The sequence below is a fragment of the Homo sapiens genome, chromosome 15 (genome assembly GCF_000001405.40).
Source record: "Homo sapiens chromosome 15, GRCh38.p14 Primary Assembly".
Taxonomy (NCBI): Eukaryota; Metazoa; Chordata; class Mammalia; order Primates; family Hominidae; genus Homo; species Homo sapiens.
Window position 1 is genome coordinate 91,499,458 of NC_000015.10, and position 18,672 is coordinate 91,518,129.

The following is an 18,672-nucleotide window of genomic DNA, read 5'->3' on the forward strand; positions in this document are numbered from 1 at the left end:
CTGTATGTTTGTGTGTTCTAAGCCCTTACACATTTGAGAACATTTTTCTGTTGTCTTAACAACGTAACTTGACTGTGTCAAGGGTTGTAAAACAGTAATGATAGCTGATTTTCATATATGGGCAATCTAAAACATGTGCAGAGGTTGAGGAAAAGCTTCCTCTTCACCTACTGAAGTTTGCTGAAATGACTGACAATAGACAGATTAATAGAATAAAAAGGCACACAAATTATTAACAGGGATATGGATGTGGGATTCCCCAAAATATGACTCTCAAAGAATGGCTAGAAGGTTGAGGCTTAAGTCCTCTCTTAGTAGGGGAGAGGAAAGTTGGGGGATGTAGGTAATTTTAGATAAATAGTGAATGATTTTTAGGGCAAATGAATGAGCCCAAAGAACAATAGTCTGGGACAAATTTCCTCTGAGCTCTGGGCAAGGTGAGGAGCAAAACTTCACTGTGAACAATGGTTGTTTCATTATGCAGATAAAGCCTCCCAGGCAGTCTCTCTGAGTTGCTCTCAGAGGAATAGGTGAAAAGCCTATCTGGGTGCGGTGAAGACTTTTAGTCTCCTCTTTTCTCCACTGGTTAATCTTTCCTGGTTATTTGATGAGATTCTTAGGACAACTGCATTTCTTTTGGAAAGAAGTTTCCATAGTCAGAAAATTCCCAAGAGTCCCTCCCTGCGCTTGAGGAAAGAAAGCAGATCAGAGACACGGGGCCGGGAGGTGGGGGCATGGGCAAGAAAAGGCCTGAGAGAGACCTTTGTTCTCAGGAGTCTTTCTGAAGCCTTCCTATTTTAGTTCAAAGGGCTTGGCATCCCAAAGAGCCAAACTTTTGGAGTATATTTTCTAAGGCCCACATATGCATTAATTCTATTTTTCTTGAACTTATAAGAATTAAAATTTTTGGCCGGGTGTGGTGGCTCATGCCTGTAATCCCAGCACTTTGGGAGGCCGAGGTGGATGGATCACAAGGTCAGGAGTTTGAGGCCAGCCTGGCCAACATAGTGAAACTCCGTCTCTACTAAAAATGCAAAAAATTAGCTGAGTGTGGTGGCAGGCGCCTGTAATCCCAGCTACTTGGGAGGCTGAGGCAGGAGAATTGCTTGAACCTAGGAGGTGGAGGTTGCAGTGAGCAGAGATCAGACCACTGCACTCCAGCCCAGGCGACAGTGCGAGAGTGTCTCGAAAGAAAAAAAAAAAAATTGTCCCAGCGTGAGCGACGCAGAAGACGGGTGATTTCTGCATTTCCATCTGAGGTACCGGGTTCATCTCACTAGGGAGTGCCAGACAGTGGGCGCAGGTCAGTGGGTGCCCGCACCTTGTGCGAGCCGAAGCAGGGCGAGGCATTGCCTCACTTGGGAAGCGCAAGGGGTCAGGGAGTTCCCTTTCCAAGTCAAAGAAAGGGGTGACGGACAGCACCTGGAAAATCGGGTCACTCCCACCCAAATACTGTGCTTTTCCGACAGGCTTAAAAAATGGTGCATCACGAGATTATATCCCGCACCTGGCTCGGAGGGTCCTGCGCCCACGGAGTCTGGCTGATTGCTAGCACAGCAGTCTGAGATCAAACTGCAAGGCGGCAGCGAGGCTGGGGGAGGGGCGCCCGCCATTGCCCAGGCTTGCTTAGGTAAACAAAGCAGTCGGGAAGCTCCAACTGCGTGGAGCCCACCACAGCTCAAGGAGACCTGCCTGCCTCTGTAGGCTCCACCTCTGGGGGCAGGGCACAGACAAACAAAAAGACAGCAGTAACCTCTGCAGACTTAAATGTCCCTGTCTGACAGCTTTGAAGAGAGCAGTGGTTCTCCCAGCACGCAGCTGGAGATCTGAGAACCGGCAGACTGCCTCCTCAAGTGGGTCCCTGACCCCTGACCCCCGAGCAGCTTAACTGGGAGGCACCCCCCCAGCAGGGGCACACTGACACCTCACATGGCAGGGTACTCCAACAGACCTGCAGCTGAGGGTCCTGTCTGTTAGAAGGAAAACTAACAAACAGAAAGGACATCCACACCAAAAACCCATCTGTACATCACCATCATCAAAGACCAAAAGTAGATAAAACCACAAAGATGGGGAAAAAACAGAACAGAAAAACTGGCAACTCTAAAAAGCAGAGCGCCTCTCCTCCTCCAAAGGAACGCAGTTCCTCACCAGCAACAGAACAAAGCTGGATGGAGAATGACTTTGACGAGCTGAGAGAAGAAGGCTTCAGATGATCAAATTACTCTGAGTTACAGGAGGACAGTCAAACCAAAGGCAAAGAAGTTGAAAACTTTGAAAAAAATTTAGAAGAATGTATAACTAGAATAACCAATACAGAGAAGTGCTTAAAGGAGCTGATGGAGCTGAAAACCAAGGCTCAAGAACTACGTGAAGAATGCAGAAGCCTCAGGAGCCGATGCGATCAACTGGAAGAAAGGGTATCAGCAATGGAAGATGAAATGAATGAAATGAAGCAAGAAGGAAAGTTTAGAGAAAAAAGAATAAAAAGAAATGAGCAAAGCCTCCAAGAAATATGGGACTATGTGAAAAGACCAAATCTACTTCTGACTGGTGTTCCTGAAAGTGATGGGGAGAATGGAACCAAGTTGGAAAACATGCTGCAGGATATTATCCAGGAGAACTTCCCCAATCTAGCAAGGCAGGCCAACGTTCAGATTCAGGAAATACAGAGAATGCCACAAAGATACTCCTCGAGAAGAGCAACTCCAAGACACATAATTGTCAGATTCAACAAAGTTGAAATGAAGGAAAAAATGTTAAGGGCAGCCAGAGAGAAAGGTCGGGTTACCCTCAAAGAGAAGCCCATCAGACTAACAGCGGATCTCTCGGCAGAAACCCTACAAGCCAGAAGAGAGTGGGGGCCAATATTCAACATTCTTAAAGAAAAGAATTTTCAACCCAGAATTTCATATCCAGCCAAACTAAGCTTCATAAGCGAAGGAAAAATAAAATACTTTACAGACAAGCAAATGCTGAGAGATTTTGTCACCACCAGGCCTGCCCTAAAAGAGCTCCTGAAGGAAGCGCTAAATATGGAAAGGAACAACTGGTACCAGCTGCTGCAAAATCATGCCAAAATGTAAAGACCATCGAGACTAGGAAGAAACTGCATCAACTAACGAGCAAAATAACCAGCTAACATCATAATGACAGGATCAAATTCACACATAACAATATTAACCTTAAATGTAAATGGGCTAAATGCTCCAATTAAAAGACACAGACTGGCAAATTGGATACAGAGTCAAGACCCATCAGTGTGCTGTATTCAGGAAACCCATCTCACGGGCAGAGACACACATAGGCTCAAAATAAAAGGATGGAGGAAGATCTACCAAGCAAATGGAAAACAAAAAAAGATGGGTTGCAATCCTAGTCTCTGATAAAACAGACTTTAAACCAACAAAGATCAAAAGAGACAAAGAAGGCCATTATATAATGGTAAAGGGATCAATTCAACAAGAAGAGCTAACTGTCCTAAATATATATGCACGCAATACAGGAGCACCAAGATTCATAAAGCAAGTCCTGAGTGACCTACAAAGAGACTTAGACTCCCACACATTAATAATGGGAGACTTGTAACACCCCACTGTCAACATTAGACAGATCAACGAGACAGAAAGTCAACAAGGATACCCAGGAATTGAACTCAGCTCTGCACCAAACGGACCTAATAGACATCCACAGAACTCTCCACCCCAAATCAACAGAATATACATTGTTTTCAGCACCACACCACACCTATTCCAAAATTGACCACCTACTTGGAAGTAAAGCTCTCCTCAGCAAATGTAAAAGAACAGAAATTATAACAAACTATCTCTCAGACCACAGTGCAATCAAACTAGAACTCAGGATTAAGAATCTCACTCAAAACTGCTCAGCTACATGGAAACTGAACAACCTGCTCCTGAATGACTACTGGGTAAATAATGAAATGAAGGCAGAAATAAAGATGTTCTTTGAAACCAACAAGAACAAAGACACAACATACCAGAATCTCTGGGACACATTCAAAGCAATGTGTAGAGGGAAATTTATAGCACTAAATGCCCACAAGAGAAAGCAGGAAAGATCCAAAACTGACACCCTAACATCACAATTAAAAGAACTACAAAAGCAAGAGCAAACACATTCAAAAGCTAGCAGAAGGCAAGAAATAACTAAAATCAGAGCAGAACTGAAGGAAATAGAGACACAAAAAACCCTTCAAAAATTAATGAATCCAGGAGCTGGTTTTTTGAAAGGATCAACAAAATTGATAGACTGCTAGCAAGACTAATAAAGAAAAAAAGAGAGAAGAATCAAATAGACACAATAAAAAATGATAAAGGGGATATCACCACCGATCCCACAGAAATACAAACTACCATCAGAGAATACTACAAACACCTCTACGCAAATAAACTAGAAAATCTAGAAGAAATGGATAAATTCCTCGACACATACACTCTCCCGAGACTAAACCAGGAAGAAGTTGAATCTCAGAATAGACCAATAACAGGATCTGAAATTGTGGCAATAATCAATAGCTTACCAACCAAAAAGAGTCCAGGACCAGATGGATTCACAGCCGAATTCTACCAGAGGTACAAGGAGGAACTGGTACCATTCCTTCTGAAACTATTCCAATCAATAGAAAAAGAGGGAATCCTCCCTAACTCATTTTATGAGGCCAGCATCATTCTGATACCAAAGCCAGGCAGAGACACAACAAAAAAAAGAGAATTTTAGACCAATATCCTTGATGAATATTGACGCAAAAATCCTCAATAAAGTACTGGCAAACCGAATCCAGCAGCACATCAAAAAGCTTATCCACCATGATCGAGTGGGCTTCATCCCTGGGTTGCAAGCCTGGTTCAATATACGCAAATCAATAAATGTAATCCAGCATATAAACAGAACCAAAGACAAAAACCACATGATTATCTCAATAGATGCAGAAAAGGCCTTTGACAAAATTCAACAACCCTTCATGCTAAAAACTCTCAATAAATTAGGTATTGATGGGACGTATTTCAAAATTATAAGAGCTATCTATGACAAACCCACAGCCAATATCATACTGAATGGGCAAAAACTGGAAGCATTCCCTTTGAAAACTGGCACAAGACAGGGATGCCCTCTCATCACTCCTATACAACATAGTGTTGGAAGTTCTGGCCAGGGCAACTAGGCAGGAGAAGGAAATAAAGGGTATTCAGTTAGGAAAAGAGGAAGTCAAATTGTCCCTGTTTGCAGACGACATGATTGTATATCTAGAAAACCCCATCGTCTCAGCCCAAAATCTCCTTAAGCTGATAAGCAACTTCAGCAAAGTCTCAGGATACAAAATCAATGTACAAAAATCACAAGCATTCTTATACACCAACAACAGACAAACAGAGAGCCAAATCATGAGTGAACTCCCATTCACAATTGCTTCAAAGAGAATAAAATACCTAGGAATCCAACTTACAAGGGATGTGAAGGACCTCTTCAAGGAGAACTACAAACCACTGCTCAAGGAAATAAAAGAGGATACAAACAAATGGAAGAACATTCCATGTTCATGGGTAGGAAGAATCAATATCGTGAAAATGGCCATACTGCCCAAGGTAATTTACAGATTCAATGCCATCCCCATCAAGCTACCAATGCCTTTCTTCACAGAATTGGAAAAAACTACTTTAAAGTTCACATGAAACCAAAAAAGAGCCCGCATCGCCAAGTCAATCCTAAGCCAAAAGAACAAAGCTGGAGACATCACACTACTTGACTTCAAACTATACTACAAGGCTACAGTAACCAAAACAGCATGGTACTGGTACCAAAACACAGATATAGATCAGTGGAACAGGACAGAGCCCTCAGAAATAATGCTGCATATCTACAACTATCTGATCTTTGACAAACCTGAGAAAAACAAACAATGGGGAAAGGATTCCCTATTTAATAAATGGTGCTGGGAAAACTGGCTAGCCATATGTAGAAAGCTGAAACTGGATCCCATCCTTACACCTTACACAAAAATCAATTCAAGATGGATTAAAGACTTAAACGTTAGACCTAAAACCATAAAAACCCTAGAAGAAAACCTAGGCAATACCATTCAGGACATAGGCATGGGCAAGGGCTTCATGTCTAAAACACCAAAAGCAATGGCAACAAAAGACAACATTGACAAATGGGATCTAATTAAACTAAAGAGCTTCTGCACAGCAAAAGAAACTACCATCAGAGTGAACAGGCAACCTACAAAATGGGAGAAAATTTTCGCAACCTACTCATCTGACAAAGGGTTAATATCCAGAATCTACAATGAACTCAAACAAATTTACAAGAAAAAAACAAACAACCCCGTCAAAAAGTGGGTGAAGGACATGAACAGACACTTCTCAAAAGAAGACATTTATGCAGCCAAAAAACACATGAAAAAATGCTCACCATCACTGGCCATCAGAGAAATGCAAATCAAAACCACAATGAGATACCATCTCACACCAGTTAGAATGGCAATTATTAAAAAGTCAGGAAACAACAGGTGCTGGAGAGGATGTGGAGAAATAGAAACACTTTTACACTGTTGGTGGGACTGTAAACTAGTTCAACCATTGTGGAAGTCAGTGTGGCGATTCCTCAGGGATCTAGAACTGGAAATACCATTTGACCCAGCCATCCCATTACTGGGTATATACCCAAAGAACTATAAATCATGCTGCTATAAATACACATGCACATATATGTTTATTGCAGCATTATTCACAATAGCAAAGACTTGGAACCAACCCAAATGTCCAACAATGATAGACTGGATTAAGAAAATGTGGCACATATACACCATGGAATACTATGCAGCCATAAAAAATGATGAGTTCATGTCCTTTGTAGGGACATGGATGAAATTGGAAATCATCATTCTCAGTAAACTATCACAAGAACAAAAAACCAAACACCGCATATTCTCACTCATAGGTGGGAATTGAACAATGAGATCACTTGGACAGAGGAAGGGGAATATCACATTCTGGGGACTGTTGTGGGGTTGGGGGAGGGGGGAGGGATAGCATTGGGAGATATACCTAATGCTAGATGACGAGTTAGTGGGTGCAGCGCACCAGCATGGCACATGTATACATAGGTAACTAACCTGCACAATGTGCACATGTACCCTAAAACTTAAAGTATAATAATAATAAATAAATAAATAAATTGTCATATGAACAAAAAAAAAAGAAAAAATTAAATTTTTTTCATATTTCCTCCTTTAAGTGTCCACTAGCATAGGGGAAAATTTTTCAGATAAATAACTGAGAAAGAAGGAAAATATTCACCAGGGAGGGAATATTTACAGAAGACAGGCCTGATTTCTTTACTTTGAAAATTATAGAAAAATCCTCCAATTTATAGTAATGTTAAAACTATGACACTACTTATTAAGAAATTGTTATTACTAGTCTAAGAATCTAGCAGTTACCTATATACTTTGTGAGAATTTCTGAACACAAGACTTCTTTTTGCTAAAAATATTAAGCCAAAAAGAGCTTTGCTCACACTTGAGGGAAAAAACCTCTTTTAAAATGTTTAAATCTCTTCATGCTATATTCACATTGCTCTTGCAATCCCACATTATATATCATATTTTTTAAGGAGCTTATTTTGTTTTGGAGGCTAGGAAGGTTAACTTGCAGTGATTTTCAAGTCTCGGATTTAGTGAAAAATTTTTTTAAAAGCCAGGCTCACCTGATTCTTAAAACATTCTTTTCCACTTAAGCAGAAGCCTTACCCATGCCAGATATTGAAAAGTGTATAGGTGAGGAACAATTTTTTCTTTCTTTGGAAGTTACTTTTTGTTGCATTTCTTGGTCATGTTTTAGCAATTGTCTCTATAATATCTACATCTGCATCTTCAGTCATACTTTAATGGAATAATTTTGAGTTTTTTATTTGATGATGTGAGATCATGCTTTTTAACTGTGTGCTTTTCAATCTCTTGGTGTCTTATCTAGAACCACTAATAGGAATTCCACAGAGCTCAGATTGTTCTGGGGTACCTAACTTGAAAGATAAACTAATATTCTCACGTCTCTGAAAATGTCTAGTATATAGTGTTAATTTTCCATGACTCTCTCTGACTCTGGTTAATGAGGTCAACAGAGGTCTTAGAGGAATCATGGACTTGAATTCAACTCTGGAGTCGGTGACAGCAACCTGTTGAAGACACAGACCTCTTGCCTTAGCTAGAGCACTTATGTCCCTGTCCCCTGCTGTCTCTCCTTTGACTAATTTCTCCTAATCCTTTTCACTGGCTCCTCTTTCTTTATCGGTCCCTTTTATTGAAGGATTTCTCAGAGGTTAGTCCTAGGTGCACTTTCCTTCTCACGCTACACATTCACCCTGGACAATCTAACTCACCCCCATGCTTCAAATACCGCCTGGAAGGCAAGTACTCCTCCAGTCACCACCCATGTCTGAATCTTTCTCCAGAATTACAAGTCTCTTTAAGATCAGGCCTTAGCTTACCTGTTTTTTCTCTTTCTTTAAATTTTATTTTTAATCAAATAATAATTATATTTATGGGGTGCAATGTGATGTTTTGAAACATGTATACATTGTAGAACATAGATGAAACTGGAAGACATTAATTAAGTGAAGCAATCCAGACACAGGAAGATAAATACTGCACCATCTCACTTTGTTGTGGAATCTAAAATAGTCAAACTCAGAAACAGAGAGTAGGATGGGAACTGGAAGCTGAAAGGGGTGGATGGGAACAGGGGAGATGTTGATCAAAATATTCAACACTTCAGTTACGAGAAATAAGTTCTGGTGGTTGATTGCACGACATGTTGACTATAGTTAATAATGTATAGTATATTTCAAAATTGCTGAAAGAGTGAATTTTAAATGTTCACAGCACACAGAAATGATAAGTATGCTAAACTTCCTTACTAAAAACTGATGTTTCAAAGCTGACGTTGATGATAGTGACAGACTAGGGCTGAGGACTGGGATTCTTTTGTATTGTTTTTGGTAAGGTAAATTAGTAAATACTTTTGGACGACAATTTGGCATGCTGTCCGATTTTAAGTGAGCATTTCCTTTAAACCAGAAATTTCATTTCTAGGAATTTACCCTAGGACATTATCCTAAGGAAACAGCCAGACATGTGAATCATTATATATTTCCAAGGGTCTCGCTGTATTGGTTGTAATATCAAGAAAGAGGGGACTCCCTTTTTACGGGGTATCTGTAAAATGGGATATGGGTGCAATTATGGGACATATGTACAGTGATATACAAGGCAGCTGCTGAAACAGTCATATTTATTTATAGAGTCATAGATAGTTATCTCTAAGTTGCTAATAGAAAAGTCAGGGTACAAAACATTATAGATACTATGACTAAATCTTATAAAAATGTGTGTATGTAAATTTCATCATAAAAGTCTGAAAAGTTATAAAACAGAATATGAGTCATAATGGTAATGGGATTGGGTTACTGGTGATTTTTCTCATTGTTCTTCAAAATTTACTGTATTTTCTCATATTTTCTCACTGTTCTTTAATTTACTGTCGAATATGTATACAATAGGTATATATTGCTTTTATAATTAGCAAAAACAATAGTTATTTTTATTTTGAAAAATCAATGAGTTATTGTTTTAAAGAATGTTCACAGATACTTGTAAAACAATAAAAATAATCTGTGCATGCATTTACATTGTTGAGATGAAGTCTGTCTCCAGCTTAGATCGTTCTCTCGTGTGCTATGGTTTATTTAGCAAATGTTCACTGAGCCCATATGATGTGCCACCACTTCATACGACTGCTGTTGGTCATTTCCATCTGAATGTCTCACATGGTCCTAAAATCACTACGACTAAAACTAAATTTACCGTCATGTCTTGAAATCTGCCTCCTTCTGTATTCCCAGTCTTAGTTAACAGGATCCCCACCTACCCACGTGGGAAATTTGAGAGGGAGTCGCCATGAGGCCTCCACTGACCTTACCCACCATAGCTAGGGTGCACAAGACCTGTGACTTTACTGTTCTTTACAGTACATTCCCTCGTCTTCATTCCCTGTTCATTGGCCCTAGCTAAGCCCCTCACCCTTATCCCCTTGGACTGTTGCAGTTCTCCCCTATATTCCTAGACCATTCAACACATAATGTCCTAAAACACACCTCCCAGCTGTTGCTTACATTGCTGCTGCTTCTTCCCACTCGCCTTCTTCCTCTTACTTTGTTCTCTGGAAGACTGTCTGGTTAACTTTCAAGGCTTGGTTCAAATGCCACTCTCTAACCTTTCTGTTGGAATTGGCAGGTCTTCCCCTATGGTCTCAGTGGGTATCCTAATAAGGATCGTAAAAGCTAACATTGACCGAGCTCTTGTTGTAGGTCAAGCACCATCCTAAGAGTTTCACGTGTTTTACATCATTTAATAGTTAAAACAACCTGTGAGATAGGCTACTATTATTATTTACAGGTAATAACCTTAGGTAAAGAACTTGAGATTTAGAAAGTTTAAATAATTTGCCAAAGGTCACAGAGTCAGTAAGAATTTGAACCTAGTCTGGTTCCAGAGCCTGAATCTTTACTTCCAAGAGTGGTTATATACACGTGTCTATAATCCATACTTTATTATAGAATAGCATCTTTACTTCTTTTTCTATCAATATCTATGACTGTGCAAAGGCCACATAGGCAACCTCAATAAAGGTATGCTGACTTACTGATTAATTACTTAATCTTTCTAGGATAGAAAGTCTAAGCCAGTGAGAATTAGCCTTATTTAAAACTTTTTGTTGCTCATTTTTGTTGCTTACTTTGTTTCTATATGGATGGACTCTGATGTCCTTTTTATTGTTGGAATACAATGGTGTTTGGTTCTCTTTTGCTTCTTGCTAAATGGGCTAGATCCTGCCTGGTGATAAAGAAAAAACACCTAGAGGAGAATCGTCTGATTCAGCTCATGTGCGTTGAATGTAATGGAACTGAACCAAGAAATAATGGGGATGATCTTTGTGAAAAATATAATCCTCTTATAAAACTGGTAAAAATTGACTCTGAATTTATTTGAGAAAGACTGTAAAACTTCCTTCGAGGCAGTGTGTACACATGGCATAAATGAATTTCTTTGTGAGTATTTGGAGGATGTAAAAACTCTAAAGCCATTTATTGAATATCCATCACTTCAGAGTTCTATAGGTATTAAAGATACCCTGGTTAAATGGACCTCAGGGGTCAAAAATCACACCCAATCAATCCTGTCCTCCACTGGTCTTTTAAATCCTTCCTAGCTCCTAAATACACGCCTGGCAACAGCGTACTCACTGGTAGCTTCCTCATCTTTTGTGGCCTGCATACACTGCACACGTTTCTGAAAGAGAATTGTGATAAAGTCAAGCCCCTTCTTCAAAACTCTGATTTCTCCTCATTGTTCCAAGGACAAAGTTCATATTCCATTGCCAGGTCTCTGCAATGGTTGCTATCCTGCCTTACTCGCCCATCACAGCCTCTTGGTTCAAATTATTACCAGTCCACTCTATGAAAAGGGCTGCCATTCCCTAACCTGTCACATGCCCTCTCTGCTGGGAATGCTTTTCACTCTACTTGGTCTTCAAGATCCAACTCTGATTTCTCTACCTTTTAAATCATTGCCTCCATTAAAGTACACACTTTCTCCTCTGTGTCCCCAAAGTGCTTTGTACGTACTTTGATACTTGTTCCATAATTACCTGTTCACTTGATCTACTATGACTTATTCAAGGTCAGGAATCACTCTTACTTTTAATTTTTGTTTTAGTGCCCTGTAGAATAGTGCTTCTCAAAGTTTAATGTGCATACACATCACCTGAAGATGTAAAATCAGATTCCGATTCAGCTGTTGGGGCAGAGTTGGGGGGGCTTTGGCGGGGTGGTGTCAGCATTTCTAACAAGCTCTGAGTGGAATATCAATGCTGTTGAACTCTGGATCACCCTTAGAAAAGCAGGCAGGTGTTTTTTTGGGAATTAATAATGTTTGGAATGAATAAACCAGAAATCAAAAAGAAAAAGCAAGAGTAAAACATCAAACCATGCTTCACTTTATTTTTAATTTTTTTAAAACAAGTGACATCTTCACTGGGTCTCTACATCTCCCTAGTGGTCATTATATTTTTATAGCTTTAACGTTTTCCCACATTTTAATATTATTAAAATTTGTCTTTAATTTTTCCCTTTGAAAAAATGTTAAATTTAGGTTTGTTTCAACCAGGACCAATACTGCACAAATCTGTTATTACAATGGGGCAACATTTATTTCTTGAAATATAATTTTGAAAACATTTTTGTTATATTATAGGACCTGTTTTAATCACAGACAATACAACATATAATTGCAGTACAGTGAGGCAAAATGTGTCTTCTAAAGTTAATTTATGTGTATGTATATATATGCGATATGTTCTTAGTTACATTTTTGAATAAAATGTTGTTTTAAAGAGTTCAGCTGAACTTTAAAGATGGATCCTTGCTTTTTCACAGTCACTTCCTGTTCTGATTAATATTCATTTACAGGCGTACTTCGCAAGGGAATTAGCTCACTACAATTTGGCTTATTTTGTGCCCGAACTTAGCTTTTCCACACTCTTTTCTTCTATGAATATGAAAAGATGAAATTTAAGACTCTATAGCTGGAAAGGGCCCAGGGACACTTTTCACAAATGCTGAATATTTCACTCACTGTCAACTCTCTACCTTGGAAACCAAATCAAAATGCAACAATGAATCAACTACATCAAAAAATTCAGGTCAATTGCCAACCAATTAACGGGAACATCTGGTTATTTTGACATCTGGTCAAAACAGTTGACCGTTACAACCCAATCAGCATCAAAAATCTGATTCCATAATAAAAGCAGCAAGAGATAGGTTCAAGGTAATGCGTAGGTATTACCTTCATTATGTTGGTTAAGAACACTGACAGCTAGGCTTTGTAAATTTCATTGGGAAACCGGTAGTCATAAGAACGCTTCTGGTTCTGATCCTCAATGATCCAATGAATAATGTTATTTTCTCCACTACAAGGTTGCAGTCCTCTATTTAGATGCCATAGTCTGCCTTTGCTGCAATTTTATGGGTACTTTTAATTTCAAACGTGAAATATTTCATCCGTGTGAAGTATTTCATCTTAAGGAGACAAGTGTTAAATATTTGTTTTAGTGCACCTCAGGGAGTGAAGCCAATATGCATTGAAGATTCAATTAGCAATAGTGATGCTGGTGATTAAAGAGCTGGAATCATCTGGCTGATTCATTTGGTTTCTTTTCATCTCATTTCTTAGGGAATAAATGTGGCTTGAAATAGTTTTATTTTGAATTAATGTTTAATGCTATCCAGCCAAGAAAAACTTTTTTTCCAAATATGTTCTCCTTCATATATAGAGAAATTCTTGATGAGCTCTCCACTATGTGCAAACTGCTCAAGTCATTTGAAAGAATTGGTAAGCTGGAATGTAGGAAGATGAACATTAGTTGTTATTACTAGAAAATTACCTTTCACCTTTTCGCTATAGAGTAGAACTCACAAACCAATGCCATGTGGATTAGAACATTGTTAAGAAACCTGTGAATTAGTTGACAGTATTAATGATTTGAGAGGCTCCACATAATCTGGATTTTTGGCTTCCAGTGGCAAAGGTTGAGCTGTGTATGCCTCTCTTTCAGTGGACATCTGTTCTCTGGTTTACACAGTTCCCACCTGATCAGTGGTGCTCATTTATGTGAGCTGTCTGGCATCTAAAGGCAAATCCTGCTCTGAAGTTTCAGGTTGTGCACATCTTCACGACTCCACAACAGCAATGTGGAGGTAGAGGCGGAGAATAGAGTGTGTGCCAATTATGGGACTTACCCACCCAGATTTAGACATAGGTCAGTGGAACTGACCCTAAGAAGAGGCAGCAATATAGGTAAGAATGAAAGCTAAGGCACATCTAACAGCCATCCATGGGTGGGGAGGGCTACAAAAATGATATGGCAGAGCCCGCTGGAGGTGAGGAGATTGCGGAGAAGGGGATTTGCAGTGGAGAGTCATCACTTGAGAGGATTTTTAAGGAGTAGGAAGGCTCCTTCCTGCAAGGAGCTCAAAGCCTCATTCTCAGCGATGGTGGAAGGAATGAAGCAGAAACCCAGTCCCAAGAATCAAGGCTCATCATCACAGCAACCAAAACACAGGGCCGTGAGTCTGTTGAGAAACCGACGTAGCAGCTCAGTGTTAAACAAGATATGCCAGATTGCCAATGCTGAGTTTCAGTGATTGGCAGGCAGAGGCTGTGGGCTCCTTCTTTATTTCAAGAATAGGGCCAGAACTAGAGGTAGACACAACAAAACATGGAGATGTCCTTGAATCTGACTTTGAGGACCTGGGGAAAGATATGCAGAACAATTGCTGAAAGGAGGGTAAAAAATATCTCCATTTCATTCTTCAATGAGTCATTATTTAATATTGAAACCCTTCTGTTAGCATAAACTTTGGTGGCATATTTATTTTTAAAAAGGCTAAAGGAAGAAAGCTCTGAAGACATAGCAGGACTGTGAGATGATACAGAATCATCATCCATCAATGTCTATTCAGCCAGTATTAGCAGAAACCTGTACGGAACAACCACTCTTAACATAGAAAAGGGTATTATAATTTGAAAGCTACAGCTCTTGCCCTAGCACCCAGTTTGACCTCTCCCTATGAGAGAAATGGCCTCTTGAACACCTGAGGGTTAACTAGCCAAGAAAGGGGTTGCTGCTGAGATGGAGGGAGAGATTAGATGGGGAATAATAAACACATAGCTCTGGCTGCTGTACCTCTGGTCACCTCCCAGGATAGGCATCCCTAATTGATTACAGTACTCTTTCCTGCTGAGCTGGGATGAGGCCTCAGAATTGTTCCCAATACCATGTATCAGGAGCCAATCAATTAGGGCTGACATAGCAATGAAATGCATCTGCCCTCCTTTGATTCGGTTTTTACTGCCAAATGGGCTGTGGATGAGGCCGCTGAGTGGGGGCAGAACATTCATGTCCAGGTTGGAAGCAGGCAGATTGTCAGCCAGGGAAGCTTATAACAGGATATATTTTTAAGGTATTTATTTGTATTGATTCTTCCTTCCCTCCCCACTTCGTCTAAGTAGAGAGCAAGGCCCTTATAATTCCCTGCCTGTAGGATTTTGTTGGGCAAAAAGCATAAGATAGAGTAGTACCTCCTTTCTCTTACAAGAAATTAAACTGAATAAAAAGATTCCTTGCTATGTGCTCCAAAAGAAAGAAGGGAGAAGGGAATCATTTAGGATCATTGGAGTCATTGTTTTGCAGGCATGTGGGTGGAAGGAGAAAGGAGAATATAGATAAACGACCTCTAGCAGTCAGGGTCCCAGCAGGAAGACGATGCCCTCAAATTAGAATAGGAGAGGCTACAAGGAAGACGGAAGTACACTGTGTCTAGTAACAGCGGAGCTGTTATCACCAATTGGCCCAAAGGGATGAGGGGAGGGTTTGGTCCATGGAGTATAAAGGAGAGGGTGGTGTAGAGAGGCGGATCTAGAAAGAAGCAGCTATGCAGGGAGGGAGTCTACCTCGTTCTCTTCTATCCTTCTCTCTCCTGCTGGGGCTCCCTGTGGCCAAAACAAATCAGGAACCAAAGGCCAATGAAGTTTCTGTAAGATGGAAGTAGTAGCTCATCCAGGTCAGCAGGGAGCAGAGTGGCAAGGCGTGGGGGCATGGATGGAAGGCAAATGGAATATGTCTGTCACTACTCACACCATTTCCTTCAACATCTACTCTTGCCTTAACCTGGCTGAAAAGATTTTGTATTCATCACAGGGGACAAGTGAAGTCCTGCCAGCTACGATAGCATCAAGGGATGCTATAAACTCAGTTTTACTTTCACCTGAAACTTTAAACATTAGCCACTATCAGGTTCTACTACAGGATAGTGAAGGAAAATGGGGAAATGAAATAAGTAATAAACATAGCTGCCATAGTCCCCAGTTTGGTTGTTGATTTTATGGTCTAACTTGAGGATCATGTATTTGTCATCTTCTACTGTCTGCTCCATTTCCCCTTTCTCTTGCCAGCGCCTCAGCTGGATGGGCCCCAGTGAATACTCTGAGTCATAGATACAGATTTCCTGACCTCCGATGAGTAGCAGCAGCTCAAGTTTTCCCCGTTAATAAGTCCACTGTGTACACTGTGCTCTTCCCTGATGGTTCAGTACCATGAAATCTCCAATTTGGCATTTTTTTTTTTTAGTGAATTACAACTATCACCATGTTGCCTGGTGGAAGCATTCCCTTCTTTGGTACTAGGATTTCCAAACCCACTGAGCTCAAGCTTGCAGGAACAGGAAGCAAAAATTCTTCAAGTTAGTTATGAGATCTCACTCCTACCTCTGTCCTTTGATTCGCAAACATGTGCATTTTTGCTGTAGGGGGAGACAGTGCCATATATTGGCCATTGGTTTAAGGCATATACCATATTCTGCAGGACAGCGTTCCAACCTTGAAAGCTGGTGTCTCCAGGCTAGCACTATAACAGAACCTTCAGCAGGGCATTCCACTATTCTGTTGAGCAAGCTGCTTCTGCGTGTGAGTGCACATAAGACAGAGCATCCTGTAGGCATGAGCCTATGCCTGCATTTATTTTGTTATAAAATATGTTTTCTGGGCCAAGGTGCGGTGGCTCACGCCTGTAATCCCAGCGCTTTGGGAGGCCAAGGCAAGTGGATCACCTGAGGCCAGGAGTTTGAGATCAGCCTGGCCAACCTGGTGAAACCCCATCTCTACTAAAAATACAAAAATTACCTGGGCATGGTGGTGGGCGCCTATAATCCCAGCTACTCGGGAGGTTGAGGCAGGAGAATCACTTGAACCTGGGAGGCAGACGTTGCAGTGAGCCAAGATCACGCCACTGCACTCCAGCCTGGGCGACAGAGCGAGACTCGTCTCAAAAAAAAAAAAAAAAAAAAGAAAAACATGTTTTCTGGATGGAAATGATGTGGAGTGGCAATCCATGGCAATGGGTAAGGCATTATATTAACCCACAAATGGTGGTATTGATACAAGGATTTTATGGAGTATCTAGTGAAACATAACAAAAGATAGCATATGTGACCTCCAAAAGCCAACACATTGGTTCTTTTTTGTAATCATGGGTGGAGCAAGTTTCAGCACCTTTTCTCACTTTAAGAGGAAAATGTCAACTTTCTATAGATCAATAGACTGTTGTCTATAGAGTCAATATAGAAATAGACTTTTATCATTATGGCAGGCCCCTAAACTTTCTAAAAGTCTGTTTCCTATCTTCTGGCTTCACATGTTTTGCTGAGGCATCTAGAGTGCTTTATACTTTTTGGTCACCAGATCCAATTAGCATCATTTGATCTATATAACAATCATCATATTCTGTGAGCTATTGGGGTGAAAAAGCTTCCTCTGGATCCTCTTGGGAGAGAGAATGAGAGAACTTACCCAGCCATGAGACAATATAGTAAAGTTTTACACAGCCATGAATACCGTAAAGGTAAATTGTCCCTGCCATATAAATACAAACTCCTTTTGTTTGGAGTGGAGAATAAAGCACTTGTCAAGTCATTAACTGCACACCAGGTAGCAGGAGAAGTGTGGATTTCCTTCAGTAAAGACACCGCATCTGAAACTGTTGCTATGATCAGCCTTAGCACCTGAATTAGCTTGTAATAATCTGCTGTCATTTGCTAAAGCCCATCTGGCTTTTATACCAGTAATGTAGACAAATCAAAACATTCATGGTAAGAATCCTAACCCTGTGCATCCCTCAAGTCTTTGATAGCTGTGCTAATCTAGTCTCTGCCTCTCCCCAGGGATGAATTTCTGCTTTTGGTTTCCTATTTTAGCAAGAGGGGTAGACCTAGTTTCGTCCTTCCTACCAGAACGGCCCCCACTCCTCATGTCAGAAAACCAATGTGGATGTTGCATCCATTGCTAAGTACATCTATTTTCATTATTTGTTCTGGGTCTTCAGTCCCATTAGGATTGTGCTAAAACCCCGTCTATCACCTGATGTCTATCAACCCCTATCTGACTGGTGGACACCATATCATTGATGTCTCTGAACATGAGCAGCAGTTCAGAATCCATTTCTAACAGCCCCTAGAAGGTCTTTGTAGTTCCTTTTCTTGGTGCATAGCAACTGTGTAAAAGGCCCTTGGTTTCCTCTGGGAAGGAACTGTTAACAGGCTGTGAATATCTACCAAAGTGACTCATGTTAGGTTTCTTCCTACCAGACCTCAAAATTTCTCTCTCTGTCTCTGTCAATCTCTCTGTCTCTCTCTCTCTCTCTCTCTCACACACACACATACACACACACACTCTCTCTCTGTCTATATATATATATAATGTAATGTGTGTATATATATGTGTGTATATATATGTATATATATATATGTATATGTGTATGTATATATGCATCTCTTTTATTTCTTGTGATTTCACAATCAATACACTCTTACTGCCTATCCATGAGAATCCAAACACTCGATTTCCAGACAGTGTCACTGGTGAGTCTGATGAAATAATTATGAAATACATAGTGCCAATCATACGTAAGTCCTTCGAGAGGATTGAGAAAGAGTATAGACTCTCCTCCAATTCATTTTATGAAGCTAGAATAACCT

General features: G+C 40.3%; 2 annotated features.

The window, feature by feature from the left end:
• Positions 208 to 1,111: an enhancer, noted in NCBI's record as "OCT4-NANOG-H3K27ac-H3K4me1 hESC enhancer chr15:92042895-92043798 (GRCh37/hg19 assembly coordinates)". NCBI's record gives its function as "activates a minimal SCP1, AML or CMV promoter by ChIP-STARR-seq in naive H9 embryonic stem cells {active_cell/tissue: H9 hESC(naive)}" and the evidence as "EXISTENCE:reporter gene assay evidence [ECO:0000049][PMID:30033119]".
• Positions 17,462 to 17,756: a silencer, noted in NCBI's record as "tiled region #1362; HepG2 Repressive non-DNase unmatched - State 24:Quies". NCBI's record gives its function as "represses a minimal TATA promoter and a strong SV40 promoter by Sharpr-MPRA in HepG2 cells {active_cell/tissue: HepG2}" and the evidence as "EXISTENCE:reporter gene assay evidence [ECO:0000049][PMID:27701403]".